The sequence below is a fragment of the Homo sapiens genome, chromosome 4 (genome assembly GCF_000001405.40).
Source record: "Homo sapiens chromosome 4, GRCh38.p14 Primary Assembly".
NCBI classification, from domain to species: Eukaryota; Metazoa; Chordata; class Mammalia; order Primates; family Hominidae; genus Homo; species Homo sapiens.
Genome location: NC_000004.12, coordinates 74,531,199 through 74,553,087, shown reverse-complemented (window position 1 = coordinate 74,553,087; position 21,889 = coordinate 74,531,199). Strand labels below are relative to the sequence as shown.

Here is a 21,889-nt window from a genome sequence, read left to right as displayed (position 1 = left end):
TTGCTAACACAGTTCCTAATTTGTTTAGACTTTGGACACCCTTATATACAGAGATGGCTGGATTTCGTCTCAGCCTCAGGAGGCAAAGCTTGATTAGTTTAAGCCAGTCAAGGGTATTGTATTCACTGCAAGAATGATGAATTTAGAAATTGATATGTCCTGAAATGAAAGCCAATAGGACTTGAGGTAAATCACAGAACAGCTTCTGGGAAATTGCCCTCATCCTTAAAATGCATGTTCTTTTCTGTCTTTTAGATATTGAATGAAGCTATGATACCTGTAGCAGTTACTGCCATTTTGGACCCATAAACTGACAATCCTTAAACATTACCAGGAGGGCAGAGCGGAAAGAACATTGATGTCATCACTGAGTTGCTGGATTACCTTACTCTAGAAATAGCCAACTCTGCATGTTTGGTTATTTTTTTAAAAAGTCTTCTTTATTATTTACATCATTTTGAATGGGCTCTAACTCTAGCTCTTATAGTAAAAAGCATTTGAACTGATACAAATAATTATCTCCATATGGTTATTTTGAGAATTAAATGAGATAACACATAAAATGTATGCTTGGGACAACGTCATACATAACACTCAAGAGTACATATTGTTAGTATTATTGATGTTGTTGATGTTAAAGCTGTTACTTCCTGCAATGATCTTGCAATGCATCAGGTTTTGACTTTAGTTTTGGGCAAAATTATGAGGCTTGATTAGGAAAACATGATGAAAATTTTATTTCCTACAGCCCATTTTCTTCTTTCAGCATGTCTTTTACTTACTTTCATGCCCCTTTGAGTCTCCCCAATCATCTAGAAAGGGGATCTACTAGTGATGGCAACAAAGGAGCATGGACTGCTTAATAAGGCAATTTTTAACCCAAAAGAATAAATCCCAGCGTTAGAATTCCAAACACAATATCAAGTTGTGGGTAAGAATTTGGAGTAAGCAGGACTTCTCTACATCTCCAAAATGTTATCACACAAGCCTCTACCTGTATGTAAAGCCAAACTTTCCAGTATACAATTGGGCACTAAATTCCAGATAGTTTTTTTTATCTGGTCATGGCCTTGTAAGAAAAGAATTCTCCTTTCCTGTTTAATGTTAACATTTAATAACTATCAGGTGGTGACCTGGGCACTGCAGATCATTATCTGTTGTCAGTGACAGTGCTGTTCATTTTCAAACCAGTAAGAGAAGTTTTTTTTTCCTTTTCGTATCCGTAAAATTTGTGAGGGATTTAAAACTTGAAAAATGTGGGTTTTTCTTGCATTTCCAATGGACTAGGTCTTTACAATCATTAACTGTTTTAAAGTTGAGAAGAGCTGCTAAATTCTTCCGAGCGTGAAAAAAGATGGGCATGTGCTGTAAATTGACATAAAAAAAGTGGCAGCTTTGAAAGTTTGCAAGATCATTTTTACCAGAGCTTATATTTGGTATGAGATATCAGTAAAGCAGTTTTTTTTTGTTTTTTTTTTGTTTGTTTGTTTTTGAGATGGAGTCTCACTCTGTTGCCCAGGCTGGAGTGCAGAGGTGCCATCTTGGCTCACTGCAACTTCTATCTCCTGGGTTCAAGCAATTCTCCTGCCTCAGCCTCCCGAGTAGCTGGGATTACAGGTGCGTGCCTCCATGCCCGGCTAATTTTTTGTACTTTTAGTAGAGACGAGGTTTCACCATGTTGGCCAGGATGGTTTTGTTCTCCTGACTTTGTGATCCGCCCACCTCGGCCTCCCAAAGTGGAGGGATTACAGGGGTGAGCCACTGCACCCAGCTGTAAAGCAGATTATTAGGAGGAATAGTTAACTAGGAAAAAAAGGACAAACATCACATTTCACTTCTATCTGCCCTTAAGAAATATGACAATAATCTGAAAAATTGTCTAAAATACCTAGAATGCCTTGAGATCAATTTGATGACTTATCTGTTAGACAACTATACAGAAGGCAGATCTCTTCATTGCAATGCCCCCAAGAAGGCCTTAAAGGGACTGTTTTCTCCGCTATGTTCTATCTATCCTCACAGGTAGGACCAGCTATACAATTTTATTAAGAATTTTAAGACAATGATAATAGAGCATTAATCCAGCACAGGACCCTTCTGACCTGATTCTGTGCTACTACACAGGATGTCTATCTGTGAAGCTGGCCCTGCTGGAAGGGTCTGATTTTACTCATCTCTCTGCTCCTTTAGTGCTGGGTAAGTGAAGCAGAGGAAAGAGAATGTAGAGAGACAGACATGATTGAAAACTTGGCTTTTTTTCTTTTTAAATGTGTGGATGTGAGTGGGTGAGTTAAAGTCTTTGTCTGTTGCATGACACTGTTCAGAAAGTCTAATGCTGCATCTTGCACAAGAGGGTCTCAGTAAATGGTTCAGGAGACTTTGGGTTTGAATTCTATAAAAACCTAGTCTGTTGTCCAGGTGACTATGGCTCTATTTGAGTGAGTGCTAGGTCATGGTTTTATGGGCTTTATTTCATTCTATAGCATACATCCTAATGTTAGCTTATAAATACAATCATGCATTGCTTAATAATGGAGATACATTCTGAGAAATACATCATTAGACAATTTCATCCTGTGGGAACATCATAAAGTATACGTATGCAAACCTAGATGATACGGGCTACTACACAGCTGAGTTATAAGGTATCACCTATTGCTCCTAGGCTATAAACCTGTGCTGCAAACCTGTACAGCATGTTACTCTACTGAACATTGTAGGCGACCGTAACACAGTGGTAAGTGTTGTGTGTCTAAACATATCTAAACAGAAAAGGTACAATAAAAATATAGTATAAAAAGTTTTTAAACTTGTGCACCCATACAGAGCACTTACCATGAAAAAAAAAGCTTTCAGGGCTGGGAGTTGTTCTGATGAGTCAGTGAGTGTGTGTTGAGTGAATGTGAAGGTCTAGGATATTACTGTACACTACTGTGGAATTTTTATACACCATACACTTAGGCTACATTGAATTTATAAAAAAAAAAAAAAGTAATTATGCCTCAGCATTACAGTGGCTATGATGTCACTATGCAATGGGAATTTTTCAGCTTCATTATAATCTTATGGGATCACCATCATATATGCAGTCCATCCTTGACTGAACCATCGTTATGTGTCACATGACTGTGTACGAGTTTGGTCACAAGAAAAGCTGATTGAGAAGTCCTGGAGTGGCTAAATCCACTCTCATCACATAAAAACTAATTCAGAAGGTTTGGCAGTATTGTATCTCTATATAGTAGGTGGCATATTGTTATCATTACAAATAATGGAAGATTTTCTCCTTTCTTTTACTGTTTTATATTGCTTAACATATTCCAGATAGGTAATGGCATTTATGTCTTTTACTTTTTTGCTTTGAATTGACAATCGTAATATGTCTCTAATCTAAAAGCCAATGTCTAAATTCCAAATAACATAGAAATAAGGTGCTTCTTTGGAAATCCTCAGTTAAAATAAACTAAAATATCCTTTGTTTGAACTTCATATCTAATGTTGGAAAAGTGGTTACCTCACCGATCTGCTTCTAGTACTCACATTTCTTTTCTTTTCTTTTTTCTTTTTCTTTTTTTCTTTTCTTTTTTTTTTTTTTGAGACAGAATCTCGCTTAGTTGCCCAGGCTGGAGTGCAGTGGCTGGCGCGATCTCAGCTCACTGCAAGCTCCGCCTCCCAGGTTCAAGTGATTCTCCTGCCCCAGCCTCACGAGTAGCTGGGACTACAGGCATATGCCACCACATTGAGCTAATTTTTGTATTTTTAGTAGAGATGGGTTTTCACCATGTTGGCCAGGATGGTCTCGATATCTTGACCTCGTGATCTGCCCTCCTCGGCCTCCCAAAGTGCTGGGATTACAGGCGTAAGCATCCATGTGAGTACTAGGCTGGGTACTAGGCACCCAGCCTAGTACTCACATTTCTAAGAATAGACGTAATGAAAACTAAATAGGTGACCAAGAGAGAAATAGATTACACTCATTATTAATTATTCTATAGCTGCATGACATGTTGAAGAAAGCTTTAGATCAACAGTAAAATTAGTTAAATTATCTGCCCTGATTTCTTGTTACCCTGTATTTAAGATTTTTGCCCATCCTTGGACAAAGTTGCCATTGGAAAAAAGGAAATGTCCCTTTGGACTTGGATTTAGTCCTAAGATATTCTTCAAATGTTGACTGACACCTGAAAACACACATGGTTTTTGGAATACCATCTTTAAACAAGTGAAGATATTGAAGCCTAGAGATATGAAATAAGTATGCTGCCTAGTGTTAGGCACTTAAGCACGATGATGTTTCCATGTTCACAGGAAATGGAAAGATTGTCTCACTGAATAAATGTTTGTTTCTCTTGGCGAATAAGGATCTGACCAGTGTATTACTTGATTGTATTTATTTTATGTCCTTCTGTAGTTGTCTCTATCAGTGTGTGGTTAGATTTTTAACTCCCAAATGGTGAAGCTGGTGCTTAGTGTCATCTAATAATGTCTTTAAATCCCTCTTTAAATCTGGAGACCAGGACATGCCTGGCTTGTTATCATTATTAGGAATCCATTTTAAGATTCAGGTTTCATGTGATACACATGAAACACGAAGCCAGCCAGAAGCCACACTTGTATTGGTTGTTTCCATACCTTGCCTTTGACAATGGCATCAACTCTCACAATTAGCAATGTGGGAATCATAAGTGGATGAAGGGGATTGATGACATAGTACAGAATAAATGATATCCTCACATAGGCCTTTCCTAAGAAGTATTAACTGTAGGCAGCCACCACTCTATCTGGAGGAAAATGGATCACCACACTGATAAGCTTGAGACCTTCAAAAATAATCATAAATATAAAGCCTACAAGGAAAAATTAATACAATCAAATAAACTTCAAAAGCTTAAAAAGTTTGCTTTCCTCCTCCCCAGCTTTAATTTCTATCAAAGCTATGCTGTGAAAGCGTCAAAAAACTAAAACTCTACTATGTTTAAAATATGTAAGAAACTGGCTGATGAGAGATTATGGTGAATGAGGTCTGAGATGTTGCTGAATCTCTGTGTGGCTGCCTTTGGCTTGAAAATAAGAGCCTTTGTTTGCAGCCATCACTATTTTTGTTCCGTGGTGACAAAGTAGCAGTTTCAGATAAATGGCTGTGGGAATAGAGATGTGCCAGAATTAGGGGAAGAAGTACTGCATAGATGAGATTCACAGTATAACACAGAAAGCAGCAGTGATGTCACACAACAGTTCAGAGTTTGGAATCAATCAAACACAGGCATAATCCAGGCTCAGTCCTAGGTACATTTCAGTAAGTTGTTCACTACATCTGAACCTTAACTTCATCATCTCATAAACAGGACTTAAACAATCTACCTACCTACCTACCACGATGGATTGAAATTGAAATGGAGTGATTTAAAGCACCAGATCCAGGCTCATAATGGCCCTGGCACTTGCCAACCACATAACCACGGGCAAGTTCCTGAGTCTATGGACCTCAGTTTCCTCACTCGTACAAGGCAGGGAATGCCATCTACCTTGCAAAGTTGATTTGACAATTAAAGCTCCTGGAACATAATAATTAATAAATGTTAGTTATTCACATTCAACAAATACATAGTGTGTGCCTACTATTTGTGGGGCACTGCCCAAACTACTAATGAAACTAATGCACACAAAGTGCCTTGAGCATAGAAGACACTCAAGAAATATTTGATGAATAAGAGGAAAGGCAAGCTTCTTGGTGTGTCCCTGAGATTTGGTTAGGCTTCAGATATCCAATCCAGTATTCTTTAGGTGTCACTGGACAAATGACTGGTTTTTGCTGGCATTGCTAATTCACAGAAAGTAGAGTCCAAAGTATCCCTTTACCTAACAATAAGACTCACAGGAAGAAAGGAATGATTCATTGTACTTTTCTTTCTCTGAGGTATATTCTATTGTCCTGAGGGGCAACAAGAATCAGGTCAGCCAGAGGAGAAGACAAAAAAATTATCACAGATTTTTTTTAAGAAGGCACTTAAAATGGAAAATGAAATACATATTTTTCAAAATTAAAAGCCAATATCTTTATATTGAGGTAACTATGAGATTAGTGATTATGAAAACCTTCAATAAACGGTAAGCAGTATTTGATGTATTCATGCATTTTTGCAGGGGAGAAAGAGGTGATAGGTTTTATAAAGTTTTAGAGGAAATTGCTATTCATAAAAGGATTAAGACCTACTGGAGAATGAGTATTGGAGAAATAAAATTAGGAGATTAAAATGATTTTGAGGCCAAAGATTAGATGTATGGAATGTAAATGTAAATATAAAGAAGGGTCTGAGTCAGAAATAAGTGATCAAGCTAGTTAGTTTCCAAAAGGGATAAAAAAATCTACCTTAGGGAAAGCATTCTCTGCATAATTGGTGTCAAGATGCAATGAAGTCTGCTGATCCACACATCTCCCGATTAATTAGGGACTTGGAAGGTTTTTGAGAGATCAAAAATATGCATTATGAAAACACATTCTCAACAACAGTTTCAATCTGTTGATAATTTTCATAGATTAATTTGCTTGAAATATGAAACTCTAAAAACAGTAGACTTTGAAATCAACAACAAAAAGAAAAAATTGATGTCACCTGAGTTGAGTATTCAGTGCTGCTTTAATGCTTTTTAAAACAAAGTATGCCAACATCCATAGTGCATAAACAAAGTAGAGTGACATGGGTGCATTAGCATTTAATGAAAACAAATGCCAGGAAACACCCTTGAAATTTCAAGGCATTTTGTAAGAATAGGCATTAGGGAGGATCTGATGGGGTTAGAATGGATTGGTGTTTCAGAACATTCTCTCTATTGTTAATGAATGCGTGAATCAGCCACTTAACTTCTATTCTATCTGAAACATGGGGAATTCCCCGGAAAAGATTTCTTAATACTCTATCCTGAGCAACAGAGAACATCTCATGCTTTGCTCCATTTCTCAATTTACATTTTTTTTTAAGTAGGAGTGGTATAAGATAATGATCAGGGATGGGGGCAGAGAATGGGCATTAAATTTGGTTTGTAGACTTAGTGTTTTCAAATCCTGGATTGTTTAATAATTTTAAAAACAGACAGAAAGTAAACCAAATATCTGAAAATACAAAATTATTTTAATAATTATTATGTGTGCTTGTATTTACAGACATCTAGGTCTGTGTAAACTTTGACCTCTCACCCGTTTCTGAATATGTATTTATTCCGTCTTGATTTCTCCTAGCATCCATTTCTCCTTCTAGGAGTATCTCTCAGATCTTTCTAATAGAATTATCCCCACCTAGCTCATCACATATTAGATTAAGGTAGCACTAATCCCCCATCCCCAGCCTAACCAAATTCCAGGGGGTTATGACTTAGGTTATGCAATAAGAGTATTTTGTCATCTTGGCTGCAGTGACTGGCTCAGGGCCAGGCTTGTCCCAAGTCAGGCAAATGAGACTCAATCCCAAGATGTAAGTGCCTGAATTCTGTAGGGTTGCTGAGTTGGCAGGACATGAATCTGGACCTTCAAGGCCCCACTCTAGAGGACAGCCTTCTGAGAATGAAGACAGAGAATCACAGTGGCATTTGGGCATTTGCCTCCAACCATATCTGAAGCTAGAGATACCCCTAAACTTTTTGACATCTGAATCAATACTTTCCTTGTTCTTCCTTTTAGGGGCTAAGAGGTAGGAAAAGGAGGAGGTTTTTCTTGTAAATCCAGTTTAGATTTAGTTTAATAAGTTTCTCCAAAGAATGTATACAAGAACACTCTCTATTCTCTTTGCCTGGAAAACCTTCTTGTCTTCTCTTTACCTCCCATATGCTCATTTTTTAAGGCCTAGCTCAAACCCCACTCCTTCCAGGAAGTCTTCCTTGAATATCCAGCCAGATGAGCTCACCCTCCTTTGACCTCTTACAGCACTCAGTGTTTCTATCCCTTATCTGCCAGGATTGTTGACCTTGTAGTGCTGGTTGTTGTTTTTTTTTTTTTTCAAGTGATACTCTTAATTCCTAAAAAGGTAAAGTCAGTCCTTAAATGTTTTTATTCTCCTCAGCCTTTGCCAAAGAAGGTTATACACAGTATGTGAGCAATATATATTTGTAGCTTTAATTAATGTGATAAAAGTAGATACATTTTTTATTCACTGTTGTCCAGGATAAAACCTTGCATAAAATACATGATTGCAGTCATAAGGAAGATAAACATCAGGGATTGCAGCTTTCAGGATGATCCTATCTCATGTAAAAGGAAGGGCAAATAGAGAGTATTAGAATTGTGACCTCATGCGTATTATATGGTGAACATCTTTCATTGCTAGGAGCAAAGAAGCTCAGTGTTAGTCTCTGCCATTTATCATGTTTTACTCACAGTATTCTCAACATCAGAAGAGTCTTGGTCTTATTAAACCATAATATATATTTTAATTAGGCATTAAACTGAAACCTATAAATGAAATAAATCTCAGCTATTAAAATATCTGAATTCTCAGCACTCAACACCACCACACTTAAGATCATTTCAACAAAATCACCAAACTTGCTTACCAGAAAGAATGATTGCCCATGTCCTTACTTGAGCTCCCTGCTGCTGCAATCTATTTTTCTTGTTCAGTTCCCTGTTTTTCACCAGCCTCATTCTACAGTCTGCCTGCCACTGGTTTAAAAACGTATTCAAATCAGTAGGCAAGCTGTATTAGGATCATACTGTCCAGACTGTTCTAGCAATGCTGATGCATTTAATATAAATGCATTGTGGACATACTGTGTACAATGCCTAAAGGAAGTCCGGCAGGTTGTAAACAAAGGTTCCACTCAAGAAAAAACTTAAGGCTTAACAGAGAAAAGAAACCTGAGCTCCAGTCTTTCTGATGTAAGTGTAGGCAAAGTGAGTGTCCACGTTCCAGAAGTGTGAGTCTTCCCAGTCTCTCCCTGTCCACCCTCCATCCTCCTACCACTCACAAACCTCCTCTTCCTTCCACTTTTGTGGGGCTGAGTTTATCACAGAGCTGAATGTGTCTAAAGAATAGGAACCTGGGGGTAGTTAAATGCAATAACAATTCTCCAAGTCTCACAGTAACTTAGAAGCCAAGGTTTCAAAATCACAACTGTATTTCTGGTCCCAGATTCAGCCATTATCAGTCTTATCACCAATTATATTTTTCATTGGGTATGGGCAAATTGTTTTCTGACAAGGTCATTTCAATAAAATTGCTTTGATTTTTTTTAAGTCTATTGTCTCAAATTCACATTTCATCAGTTTTGTCTCACAGATAGGCTCATGTAGCATAATTCCTTTTTTCATCATCTTCCAAAACTGATCACTGCAAGATTACTTTGTGAATGTTTATTTTCATATTCTCATTGGTAACTGGTGGCACTTCAAGGTGAAGAATGTGTTTTTCTTGGTCATTACATATTTGACTAATGCCAGAAATTACTTCCAGTTGCTTACCTTGTTGCCTGAGAGATTTAAGTTTGCTGCATGAAAATAGCAATTTGAAAAGATGAAAGTTTAACAAATGCTATAAATAGCAACCAACGCTCTTGTCATTATCATTAACTACAGCACCACGCCCACTTCCCTTTCTGTTGTCTGTCATTAACTGTTATAGCTGAAGTGAAACTTGTTTCTAGTACAATCACTAGAATGAACAATGAAACCATAAAGAGATCAAAGGATTAGTGAAATAATTTGTTCTCTTTCATGCACGGAAAATGAACCTGACTTTCAGGGATTCATACTGACCAAAGCTCCTTTTGAGTTCCAAAGTTTGCTGCCCATTTCCTCTTCCACTTCCCTATAAGGAATGTCTCAATTGCTCAGTTTATGAAATGTTGTAAAAAGAAGAATGCTTATGGTAAGAAATTACTTCCTTAGGTGTCTGAATGGGTAATATTTTCTATACTTACTCTACAAATCATAAAACTAAGTCTTGTTGAATATCCATACAGCACACATTAACCATTTCTAAAGTAGTTTCTTTTTACCAATCTTGGAAATGTATTTATACAAGTGCTAGATTTGCAGGTGCTATTACCAGTAGTTAAATATTTTTAGAGTTGAAATGTTCCAAGCCAAAAAGGATTTGGTTCTTCCCCAAAGCAAAACACATAATTGGAGAATTGTGGCAATGGTAGATAGAGATGTTGCCTTATAAAATCTTCTGTAATATGTGGCTATTTATTTGGCATATATTTTCATTATGAAAAAAATGAATGCAGAAGATTATGGGGAACAATATAACAAACATCCATGTAGTCATGACTGAGAATTAATGATGTTAACAAATATTATGTGGAAGCTAAAATAAAGTTGATCTCATATAAGAAAAAAGTAGAACAGAGAATACTAGAGGCTGGGAAGGGTATGAGAAAGATAGGGATGGGGGAAGATTTGTTAAAGGATACAAAATTACAGCTAGAAAGGAGAAATAAATTCTAGTTTCTATACCACTGTAGAATGACCATAATTAACAACAATATACTCTATAGTTTCAAATAGCTAGAAGGAAGATACTGAATGTTCCCAGCACAAAGAAGTGATACATGTTTAAGATGATGGATATGCCAATTACTCTGATCTGATCACTATATATTACATGTCTCAAAATATCACCATGTACTCCATAAATATGTACAATTATGTCAATTATTAAAATTTAATTTAATTTTAAAAAATTAACATTTTGTCCTACTTATTTCGAAATTTTTCTTCCTTCCTTTTAAAATAAATTAGACATAAAAAACAGCTATAACGCCCTTCACAGCACTTGATTTTGCCCTTTCTTTTCTGCTAATGTTTTCATGTGCTAGTTTAATTATTCATCTTTATGGTAAGTGTTTGAAAACAAAAGCTTGCTTGCCTTTGTTTCTTGTGCTAGTGACTAGCACAATTTCTGTAGCATAATAGATAAATGCTTGTTGATAAATGAATGAGTGAATAAAACTTCTTTTTCCTTTGCTATTTTTCTTCCTACCTCTATATACCTTCTTCTCACTACAGTTTAATTGGCTAATATAGGGGCTATTTATTTCGCGTTTGCTCCTCCTTCCAGGCATTGGACTGATGCCCTGTTTATCACTGGAGTCCAGTGGGGTGTCCTTGGGTGTTGGCATCTGTTGCTGCTGCGTTTAGTGCTGAGGTACTGAATCTTTCCTGCTCTTTGGAAGTACAGACATCTGCTGCTGAAGTTTATGATTGCTGTGCTAGTTTCTCGTGTTGAAGTGACATGTGTCGCTTTAGGGAACAAGAAGGTGTGACTTACGGTGCTCTCTGACTGAACACGCCACATTGCCTTTTCCTCTCTGCTGCCACCACCACATGTTGAAGGACACTCTGTGATGTGGTTCGTCCTAGTGGTCCCAGTGTGAAGTGGCGTGTAAGTCCCTGCTTTTATCACACTGCTTCTCCTTGTATCTGAAGTTTCTATCACTTCATTGCTCACTCTCAGCTCATGGTGAAGTCCAGGACATTGTGGGAACTCAGTCCCTGAGAAACTGGGAATATCTTCATCCCTGTCTTGGACTCAGATTTATAAAAAGTGGAACACAGTGGTTAAGTGCTCAGTCTCTAGGGTCAATGTAGCTGGGTGTAAATCCCAACTCACCAGCTTCCTAGCTGTGTGGCTTTGGGCAAAGCTATTCGCTTTTCTCTGTTCTGAGTTTACTCATTGTAAACTGTTATAGTAGTACCAACCTCATAGAGTTGCAGTAAGATTGAAGTGAATTACACATATAAAGCATCTAGAACAGTACCAAAGAAATAGAATTAATGCATCATTTTATCATAAACTTCTCAATTTTACTGATGCTGAAAGAATTGTTTTCTCCAAACTGCCTCACAAATATGGACATTATTAACACAGTAAATAAAGTTAATCACAAGCAACATTTTGACCCTTATATTATGAAAACACCCTCTATACGTTGAAGATTTCTACAAACTAGGAGTATTAACCTCAATGACATTAGATATAATGAAACTGCAGCTGTCACATGAAGAGTGATTAAAGATAGGCAGCCAAAAATGTTTGAAAAAAGGATTATAGAGAAGTATCAGGTAGTTAATTAATAGGAATATTATGTTGTCATACTAAATAATGGTCACTTTCATGAACAATTTCACATTTGTAATTTGTATTATTTTTTTTAAAGAGAGCCCCTAAAGCTTCATCCTCTTCTGTATAATCTAAATTTGTTCCTGAATTATTCTTAATCTTTTTTAAAAAATGAACTTCTTTGAGAATCTTATGCATTCCATGGACACTGCCCAGAAATCTGCATACAGTTTTTGTACAAGTATAAGGAGTTCACCTATACCCTTAAAGCCCATTCACGAACCCCTGGTTAAGAACCCCTGATTTAAGGAAGAACCTGCTGAGCTTAGCATTATACATGAAACATCAGTTGAATAAGAATAACAGCTGCCCTGAATTTTCTTACAGACACCCCAGCCTCATATCCCTTCTTTCCACCTTGTTTCCCTCAGTTTCTCATATACTTATGGCTTTTCTGCAGGCCCCAATACCAATTAAAGCTTTAGACAGTGGATGCCCTGGCAATGATGAAGAGATGGTGAAGTGCTCTTACCTGTGGGTTTTCTCTAAAACAAACATTCCTCAGGAGAAAAGTCACACTTATAAAGAGTAAAAAGGAGGATTTAGTTTTTCCTATTGCCAGCTACTTCAAATAGGCCAGCAGCTTCCCACACAATCCCACAGCAACATTGTTTATGCCTAACTCACCACACCATGCTAACGTGGTCTCATTATTTGTCTCTTTCCCAAATTATGAGGTTTTGGCAAATGGAGGCTATTTTATTCATTATTATGACTCAATCTCTAGAACATAGTAAAGCATCAATAAATGATTATTCAGTGAATGAATGAAGAGAATTAGGTTTTCTTAGCTATTTTTTATACCTGTTGAATAAAACCCATGGAACAAAAATATCTTTCCCTAACATGGCAATAACCACAAAGCTTTCTGCAGTTTATGTTACTAATAACTTTTATTCTGCTTTTATCCTAATATTCACACAGCTAGCCAATGTAACCTGGTTAACAAAATCTGAAATAATATTCATGTTAGGCAAAATTTTTGAGGTTGAAACTAAAACATGTGTGCTATTTATTCATTTATTTTTACATTTATTATAATATTACTGGTTTGTGTTCTCTGGGAGTATTGAGATTTTTAATAATCAAAATATGTTTTGCACTCCCAGGAGGTGGTGTACTGGCATACAGCAGAATCCACATGGCTTTCTTACAACAAAATTACAGATTGAAATGAAAAAAACTGCTTCTCAAGCAAAAGTGTTCTGGATTCCCACTCAGTTGGACTTCATAGTCAAAGTAAAGATTGCCGTTAAAATTGAATGTATGGTTTTATCCTTGGCTGGCCACCTTAAGAGCTCATAATACTAGAGTCATCTCAATGCTTAGTAATTTCCTGTAATGAGTTTAGGCAATGAGTTGATGGAATTCCCAGAAAAGGCCCTAGATGTGGATCTAACCAGGGTTCAGGCCTTTATCATCTGATGCGTTTTCACACTTTGTCCTCATAGGCACTTCAGGAGGCAGTTACTGCCAGTTTAATGTGATTTAAAAGCCCTACTTCTTGGGTTCTCTTTTATAAGGTTGCTTTGAATTCACATAAAGAGTATTTATGGGTTGCCTAATGGTTAAGAATCTGGACTGTGGAGCTAGATTTGGGCAAATTTAATCTCTTTGGCCCTTGGTGTCCTCAAGTGTAAAATAGAACTAACAATAGAATCTAACTACTTCATAGATTTTTTGTAAGGATCAAATGAGTTAATGTTTACAAAGCTCTTTGAACACTCTGGCACATAAGTACTGTGGACGTGTTAATGATTATTAACCATATTGCATCACTATAGCATTGCATTCTTCCCATGTTATGCACCATATTGGGTTGGTATATTAAATGGAGCAATGAAGAGAAAGGGTTTAAGTGGGAAGGGGAACTATCTGAGTTATTCCTTGAAATATTTTAAGTTTTATAATAAAGTAGAGGAAATTCTTTAAGCAGAAACTCCTCTGAGGACATTTAGGAACCTGAAAGCACAGGTACCAGTAGCCGATCTCTTTGCTGATGCTCTACCTAATCATGTGGCTGTAGGCTGAACGTGAATTAACAAACTAGGGGATATTAGGGAAAGTATATGTGACTCTAGTATAACCAACAAAAGTTAAATTTTTCTAGGTATTTGACTGTCCTGGAGATTCACTAGTAAGTACAGTACCCTAGCCTTTAGTTGGGAACCTGGAGGTACAAGGTCAAGGTTCTGGTCCTTGGAAATTGTGTAATAATAGTATCCTGGTGGAACTGCTCACACCAAGCTCACCACGCCCACTCACCTGTCCTTGCATTCATCTTACTGGTCTTATGTACAGCGTTTGACTGAAAATGCTCTCCTTTCTTGACTTTCATAAGCCCATGCTTTCCTAGTTTTCCTTTTAATTCTCTGGTCCACTCATTCTTAGTGTCTTTTGCTGGTCACTGAGATATTTCCAGATGTAATTCCACAGGGTTTGTACTAGGTTCTCTTCTCCTCTCTCCCTGTACTTTTCCCCTAGTGATTTAATCTATTCTTATTATTTTAAATATCATCTATAAAATAATTAATGTTATATTTACATATTGAGCCCAGACTTTTGACTACAAGAATCATTATATTCTACTTCCCCATTGACCTTTCTGTTTGGATGTTTTTCACAGAACATGTATAGAAGTGAACTTTTGATTTTTTCCCAATTTATTCCTTCTCCTGTCATTCTTATTTTAGTAAAAGGCAGCAGAAGTCTGGAAATTCACCTTGACTATTTCTTCTCTGTTAAGTTCTATTTTTTAAAACTGTGTAGAATACTCACTGCTACCATCATAACTCAAGCCACCACCATCTGCTATCTGGAAAACTGTGATAGCTTCCTAAAGTGCCTTCCCATTTTCTCTTTCCCCTGTCTATATATTTTCACATGGGTGGGAAATTGACAAATATTTCTAAACATGCCCTAGAACATAGTGAAGAAATCAAATGTAGAGAAGTTAAGTGAATAACCCAAAGTGAAGAAGTAGCAGCAGTAGAGAGCTTTCCACACACAGCTCTCTCCTCTTTCTTTCAACAGAGCAGCTGCCTTATTAATGTATACTTTAGTGGAAAATGTGGTCCCCCTCATAAGTATGCTTTACTGTGAGTATTTTCACCTTTCTCAATGATGCTAGCATCTGCCTTTGTGTTTCGCTCCACTCCAATCCCAGCCAACATGCTTGGGAAGTTTTCTCTTAACGTTAGTTACCCTCTGATACTCAAGTCTTTTAGTTTCCCATTTTCCATTCAGAGATCTCTCTATCCATTTCATGCCAGTTGCCCACTCACATCACCATAATGTTGACTTCAACATTATTCAGCACTGCTCCACCCACAATGTTTCCACATACAATTCCTCTCTCTGCCTGTAATCTTTTCTCCCACCTCTTCCAGTTCCTAATACCCATGGTACCTGCTCTTTAGCTTCATCAAAGCCCCTAAGTCTTCAGCCTCCTCCTCTACTACGACTTCATTTCTCCTTTTCTGGAAGTAATTGGCTCTATGCAGCTATGATTTTATTTCAAGAAGGAAGCCACTCTTTCTCATCCCTCTGACACAGCCAAACATAGCCCCTGCCCCCCCAAGAAAAGTCACAAAGTGGCATAATGGGATCCAAAACAAAACAAAATCATGCTGTCAACATCACTTATTCCTTATGAAGCTGAGCATTTCTTCCATTCATCTGTTTTTGATATTCTATTGAATTAATTATGATGGTTGTTTTAAAACTTTTTCATTATTTTAAATTTCCAACCTCATTTCATCATACTTATTCTGAATACAGTGGCTTTTCAACCCTTTGCTAAATAAGTAGTACCAGAAAATTCATGTTCTCTTTACACACATTCAATTCTGTTTCTCTTTCTCTCTCTCTCTCACACACACACAGACAGTCGGACTAAAAATTAAATGAATTATATATAGTACAATGTTATTTAGAGGAGACAATCTTACAGAATCCAAAATTTTATTTTCCTTCAGATTTCAATTTGCAAAAGTTTCTTTTTCATTTCTCATATTACAGGCAATCACATTTGATATTACTAGAACTTTCTCTTCACCTTAATAAAGAGTAGATGTAGTGAATTAACATTCTCAGGTAGAAGTGACTCCACCACAGTTGTCACCTTGCAAAGGGGAATCCAAGGCACTGAAATCTTAAATCACACTTACTAAATCCAAAGAGCAAGAAATTCGTAAAAGGAAAGACAGTTTTTCACACCAGATGCCACCTAGTGTACACAAAATCTAACACCACCATCTGTTAAAGTTATAATGATTTTGGAAAAATCAATTTTTATAAAACTTTATGCATAACTTTAATTTGATTAAAGTTTATTGCAATTGTAACATTGAGGCAATTTTTCAAAAAATGATTTAAATATTGTGTAGTGTTCTCAACTCCAAGACAATAATATAATTAAATATCTACACAATAAATTCTATACAAAGGCCACAGGTCATATTTATATCATATTTGCCATATGCCAGAAACCAAGTAGTTTACATATCATCGGTTCATTTAATCATTACTGCAAGCCAGTTAGATGTATACTATTACTATCTTCATTCTGAGGGTCGGATTACTTGGCCAAGTTCACACAGCCTGAGCCCACACTTTTAACCATGTAATTTCACATCTAATCTTGTTCAGTGTCATATTGTTGAATATAAGATTCTGCATATACATAAGTATAAAAAGCCTAATATTGAAAAACAAGCATACAGTAACAGCATCAATTAATACACATTGGTCAAACTGAACTGATTACTGAAAAAATAAACTAGTAGAATTTAGACACCGGTACTTATGAAGCCAATGTAAATGACTGAACACATACATAGGCCAACAATTAGGTCAATCTAGCCAACAATTATTGAAGTTTATATCTGCTCAGTTTATCAGTAAGTATAAACTTTTTTTTATTTTATCTGGGGCTATATATGCTTCTTCTTGGCCTTTAAAACTGTGTATTCTAACACACGTATTCACACCTAGTACCTCATCCATGGAACCGGTAATTTTAGCTGATAATTTTGAATTCTTTTCGTGTAAATTGATTTTATTCACCAAATAGTTAGATTTGTTATTTGCAGTTCATTCCTTTTTATGCTCACCCATTTAAGGTTCTGGGTTTAACGTCTAGAGACTTAAGTTCAAGGCCTGACTTGACCACTTACCAATTGTTTGACCTAAGGCAAGCCACCAAAGTTCCCAGTTTCACTTTTCCCATCTGCAATGATACCTTCCAGCCAACTTCACAGGCAAAAGGGTCAAGTGAGATAACATATATGCAAATGCTTCTGAAACTACAAAGCACAGGATAATGTGAGGTATTGCTCACATCTGATTGCTCCCATAAAGGAAGTAAAGTCCTCCTTAAGGAACAAGAGTGTGAAATTTAGAACTGGGTTAACATTCCTTAAATAATATAAAAGTAAAACAAACAAAAACCTTTCTATATTAAAAATATATAACTTTAAAATGTTTCTACTTCTGATTTTAGTTGTACCAATCTGAAAGTGTACATTTGCTTTTACTTGGTTTTGGCAGGATAAAATTAGTTCAGAACTAAAAGAAGGGTCATGATTGAAGTTTTCTTTAAGAGTTTCTTTTATGTTCAGTATGATCATTAGAAATTCACAAAGAAAATCTATTTCTTTATCCATAGAAGAATAAGCTCTTCTGTTTTTAAGAAACTTACATAAGTTTAAGCTGGTGTTTAGATGTCTCCCTAACAAGTTTTGTTTTTGAAGAAAGTCTTTCACTGCAATCCCCATATCCTTGTTAAGCCATGTGAGTTGTTTCACTTGCTAAGAGTTCAGCTGCAACCAATTATAGGGGGTGGAGGTGCCATATTCTCATTCCTTTAAAACTCATCAGAGGGAAGAGGAAGTTGATTACAGTAAATGAAAAACAGGACTCAAGTGGCACTGATGGCATATGCAAAATGTATCTTCTATATCTCTTACTGTCTGCCAGAGAACCTAGTATCATCCTTGTCACAATCACCTTCCTAGCAATAAAACTGGGCATTACAGTAAGAAACCAGACAAATATTATTCCGCCACTTGTGTAAGAAAAATAAACTCATACTTAAACAATCAGATAGTTTAACAAATATGAACACAATATCTTATTTAGTGGCTTATGTAATAGTAGTAGTAGTAGAAGAAATGATTCTTTTATAAGTGAGGACTGCCACAGAATTTTGCTTAAGAGTTAAAGGAGAAAGAGATCCAATAAGGAACCCTCAGGCTTTCTAACAGCTAGAATCAGGAATTAATCTCCCTATGGTACAGCATTGTCTTCTTTCATGGAGATAATCATGCCTGCTATGCTTGTAAGGATCAAATGAAATGTCATTCATTCACTCATTAAATATCAGGTACCTACTGTACTTAAGAAAGTGGGTTAGACACTGTGAAAGATTCGATGGTGTTTAAAATAGCCTCAGTTTTTATGAACTTAAAACCTAAGGGCAAGATCAATGACATCAACACCATGGACAATAAAAGCAGGGTGAAAGTTCAGGAGTCATAAAGGCTAAAATAATGTGATATGAGAATTCATGTCATGAAAACGTGCTTTGAGACTGTAAAATGCTATACAGATGCAAGCTATCAGAATAGTTTAGGACATGGCGAAACTGAGCAAAGGTGTTTGATGACTTGTTCCTGTAAACATTCCCTTTCCCCTTTCTGTAACTTGGTTAATAAAATAGGATAGGAATCAGTGACTTAATATGGTGTCTTACAAACTCCAGATGCTCAGTAAATATTTGTTGAATGAACTAATGCTTAACGATCTACCTCTCAGTGTTATTTGAAGGAGTACTTGGTAAAAATTATTCTAGTTGGGAATGCAAAAGCACTACTTAAATTATTATTAATACTTAGAAAAATAATGCTATTTTAGAATCTATTTTAATCAATTATATTTTATAACATTTGTTTCAGATGAAACAGCTACCCTATATATAGATTACCAGTGTGTAATGTGGGTACAGTGTAAACCGGTAGAAAATACATCGATTTGGGAGCCAGGACCTCTGCATGAGAATCCCCAATATCCACTAGCTCTAGGAAAAGCTACCGTGTGTGCCTTAGTTTTTTAATCTGTAGAACATATTAAATATGAATTTACCAGATAACATAGAATATACCAGATAATTGCTAAGATCTCTTCCAGCTTTAACATTTTAATGTCTCAATACAAGAGTACTATTTAATGAAAAACATTTAAATTTTATAAAATGGACTTAGCTTGTAATGGGCTATCGCCGTGTTTTAAAAATGACATTATCATATTTTGGGATTGGTAAATTGTGTGTATATCTATAAGATAAGAATGACAAGATTACAAACATATCAAGATATTCTAATATAGGTTAGAAGTACTAGCTCTGCTCCTCACCTCACATACCTTTGAGCTATTTGGGGAGCAATCTATGACCAGTTCTACATAGTTAAGGCTAACTGAGGAGTATAATTATTAAGTGAATTGGACTAGTTCTGGACAATTAAAGCAGAAACTTTCAGTTATTTAAGGACATACCCATCTTTCCATTTTGTTTTAACTTTGTTCCATGAGTAACAAATACAGCCTGGCCAATCATGTGCTAGAGCTGTGCACTCAAACAATTTTATTTACAATAAATTTTAGGGAATTAATGAGGCATCATATGTGGCCACACACTATTCACAAAACTGTAATCAAAATGGCCCTTTAAACAATATGTTCATAATGGTGATTGACTGAGCCTTCTAAAGACAGGAAACCTGCAATAGGAGAATGAGCCTTCTAAAGTTAGAATCCCCAAGAAATTAAGATGAAAAGACAATGTGTTATTTATTGAGTACCTGCATTCTGTGTGACTCTGAGCTAGGCTGTTAAATATATTTACTCATTTGAAACATGATAAGATATTAGCAAATTTTGATTTAATCATTCCCATTTTAGAGATAAATAGTCTCTGATAAGTAAATTGCTTAAAGTTGTAGAGCTAATTGGATTTGAATTCAAGTCCCTGAAACTTCAAAGCCCTATGCTTTAACCACCACCTCCCATAACTATGCTTATGCACTATGTTCGATATTATATTTTAGGAGATAAAAATGTAAATTTTAAATATTAGTTTGAGGCATCTTATGTAAATCAAGAACTCATTTGATAATCCATTAGCTCATGTTTCATGCTGTATCTACACAGATTGACTCATTTTTCTAGAAAGCATCCCCTGCTACCTTCTTCTACTTTGATCTTGCTAACTTTCGGTCCTCCTTCTGGTCCTCACTTAAATGGCATCTCTTCAGGAGGCAAACTTTGATATTGATTTAAATTAACTTCTTACTCTTAAGTCATCTTATGCTTTTTCAAATTAGCCTTTCTCCCGTATGTCCAATGCTCACAGTAAACTGTCACATCCCTGAGGGCAGATATCATATCTGTCTTGTTCACCTCTGCATCTCCACCATTTAGAACACAGCTTGGCGTGTAGTAAATACTCAAAAATATCTGTTGCATGAATAGCACATGTATCTGATGTAATGAGCTGTAAGACTCCAAAAACATATGTCCCTTGGGAAAATTATATTGTACATTTCTGTTTTATAGCATCATACACACAATGAAAACAAGAAAGGTGTTGTAGTAATGTTAATATATTAACAGATTCAACAATGGAGTCCCTGGTGTGGGCTCAAATTGCTGGAAAGTGAATTATTTGTTAGCAAATTCATGAAGCACTGCTCCATTTCACTTTATCTTGTTTTGTCTTATAAATTCCAAAGAACTAACAACAGTAGAGTGGGTCGTTGCATCAACATTGCTTCCATTTAGTAGACTGATGCAAGTAACCAGTAACAAGGTCTTTCTTTTTCTCTTTGTGATACTTCTCATGGTCAAAAGATGGCAGTGTGTTCGAGAGTGACAGCCTTCTTTCTAAGTCCGAAATGAACAGCAGGGTGAGTGGTTAGCTGTGGTCCTGATGAATTGAGTTGGCTTTGCAAAAATCTCAGGTTTCAGAACGATGTCCAAAGCAGAAATCCACGCCTTCCCAGGAGAAACATTCACATTTTTTGGATCTGCTGCTTACCTTTGTTCAGGAGAGAAGAGCTCCAGAAAGTGTATATTCTCTTATAAACAGATAAAAAAGTAAATTTGAGCCACAAATGAAAAAAAAATTATTAAATGCCAGAAATAAAAGTATTGCTAGCTTCAAATACCAAATGTCAAATGCTGTGATCAATCCACTCGTTGACCCCATTTGGAGAACTTCTATTTTCACTGATAAGCCAAGGTATCTCTCCTAAAATGTCTGTATTTTATTTTATGGGAAGTTAAGATGGAAATATTTGTCTTCTTCATGAACTATTTTTAATTGTATTTACAGCACAGATATTCATAAATAAGGTGGCACTGTGACATTGCTGTAAACTAGGTGAGATTGTCTTCAGTACCTTCCTCTACCCTGTGAGAGCTCTCCTCCTTCTCTTGTAGCTGCTATTCTTAGAGACCCAGACATTCAGGACCAGGGCCTGAGCTCTCCTCCAGTGCGGGCGTCTTATTCTGGATGATGCCTCAGGCTCTAACTCAGTCATTTCATCTGTCCTCCTTAAAGACTTTCTAGTGCTGTTCTCCAAGGATGGCCTCTCTGTTGGAAAGGGTCAAATCGATATCTGTCTAATGGCCGATGAGGTGCACTGTATTGCCAGGTACCCAATCACTTATTTGTGTTTTTTTCAGCAGTCATGAATGGCACTCACCCAAGGTTA

General features: G+C 36.4%; 1 long non-coding RNA gene across 1 annotated transcript in view, besides 3 other annotated features; it reads left to right on the top strand.

The window, feature by feature from the left end:
• The window catches only part of LOC107986229 (uncharacterized), a 35,506-nt gene extending 32,018 nt beyond the window's left edge, over window positions 1–3,488 (top strand). The window contains exon 3 of the long non-coding RNA XR_001741513.2: window positions 256–3,488. This is a non-coding gene — a long non-coding RNA (uncharacterized LOC107986229). The remainder of the gene's footprint in view (window positions 1–255) is intronic.
• Window positions 20,862–21,156: an enhancer, noted in NCBI's record as "tiled region #3589; K562 Activating DNase unmatched - State 12:CtcfO, and HepG2 Activating DNase matched - State 12:CtcfO". NCBI's record gives its function as "activates a minimal TATA promoter and a strong SV40 promoter by Sharpr-MPRA in K562 cells, with weaker activation in HepG2 cells {active_cell/tissue: HepG2 | K562}" and the evidence as "EXISTENCE:reporter gene assay evidence [ECO:0000049][PMID:27701403]".
• Window positions 20,862–21,196: a biological region, named in NCBI's record as "Sharpr-MPRA regulatory regions 3589 and 13401".
• Window positions 20,902–21,196: an enhancer, noted in NCBI's record as "tiled region #13401; K562 Activating DNase matched - State 12:CtcfO". NCBI's record gives its function as "weakly activates a minimal TATA promoter and a strong SV40 promoter by Sharpr-MPRA in K562 cells {active_cell/tissue: K562}" and the evidence as "EXISTENCE:reporter gene assay evidence [ECO:0000049][PMID:27701403]".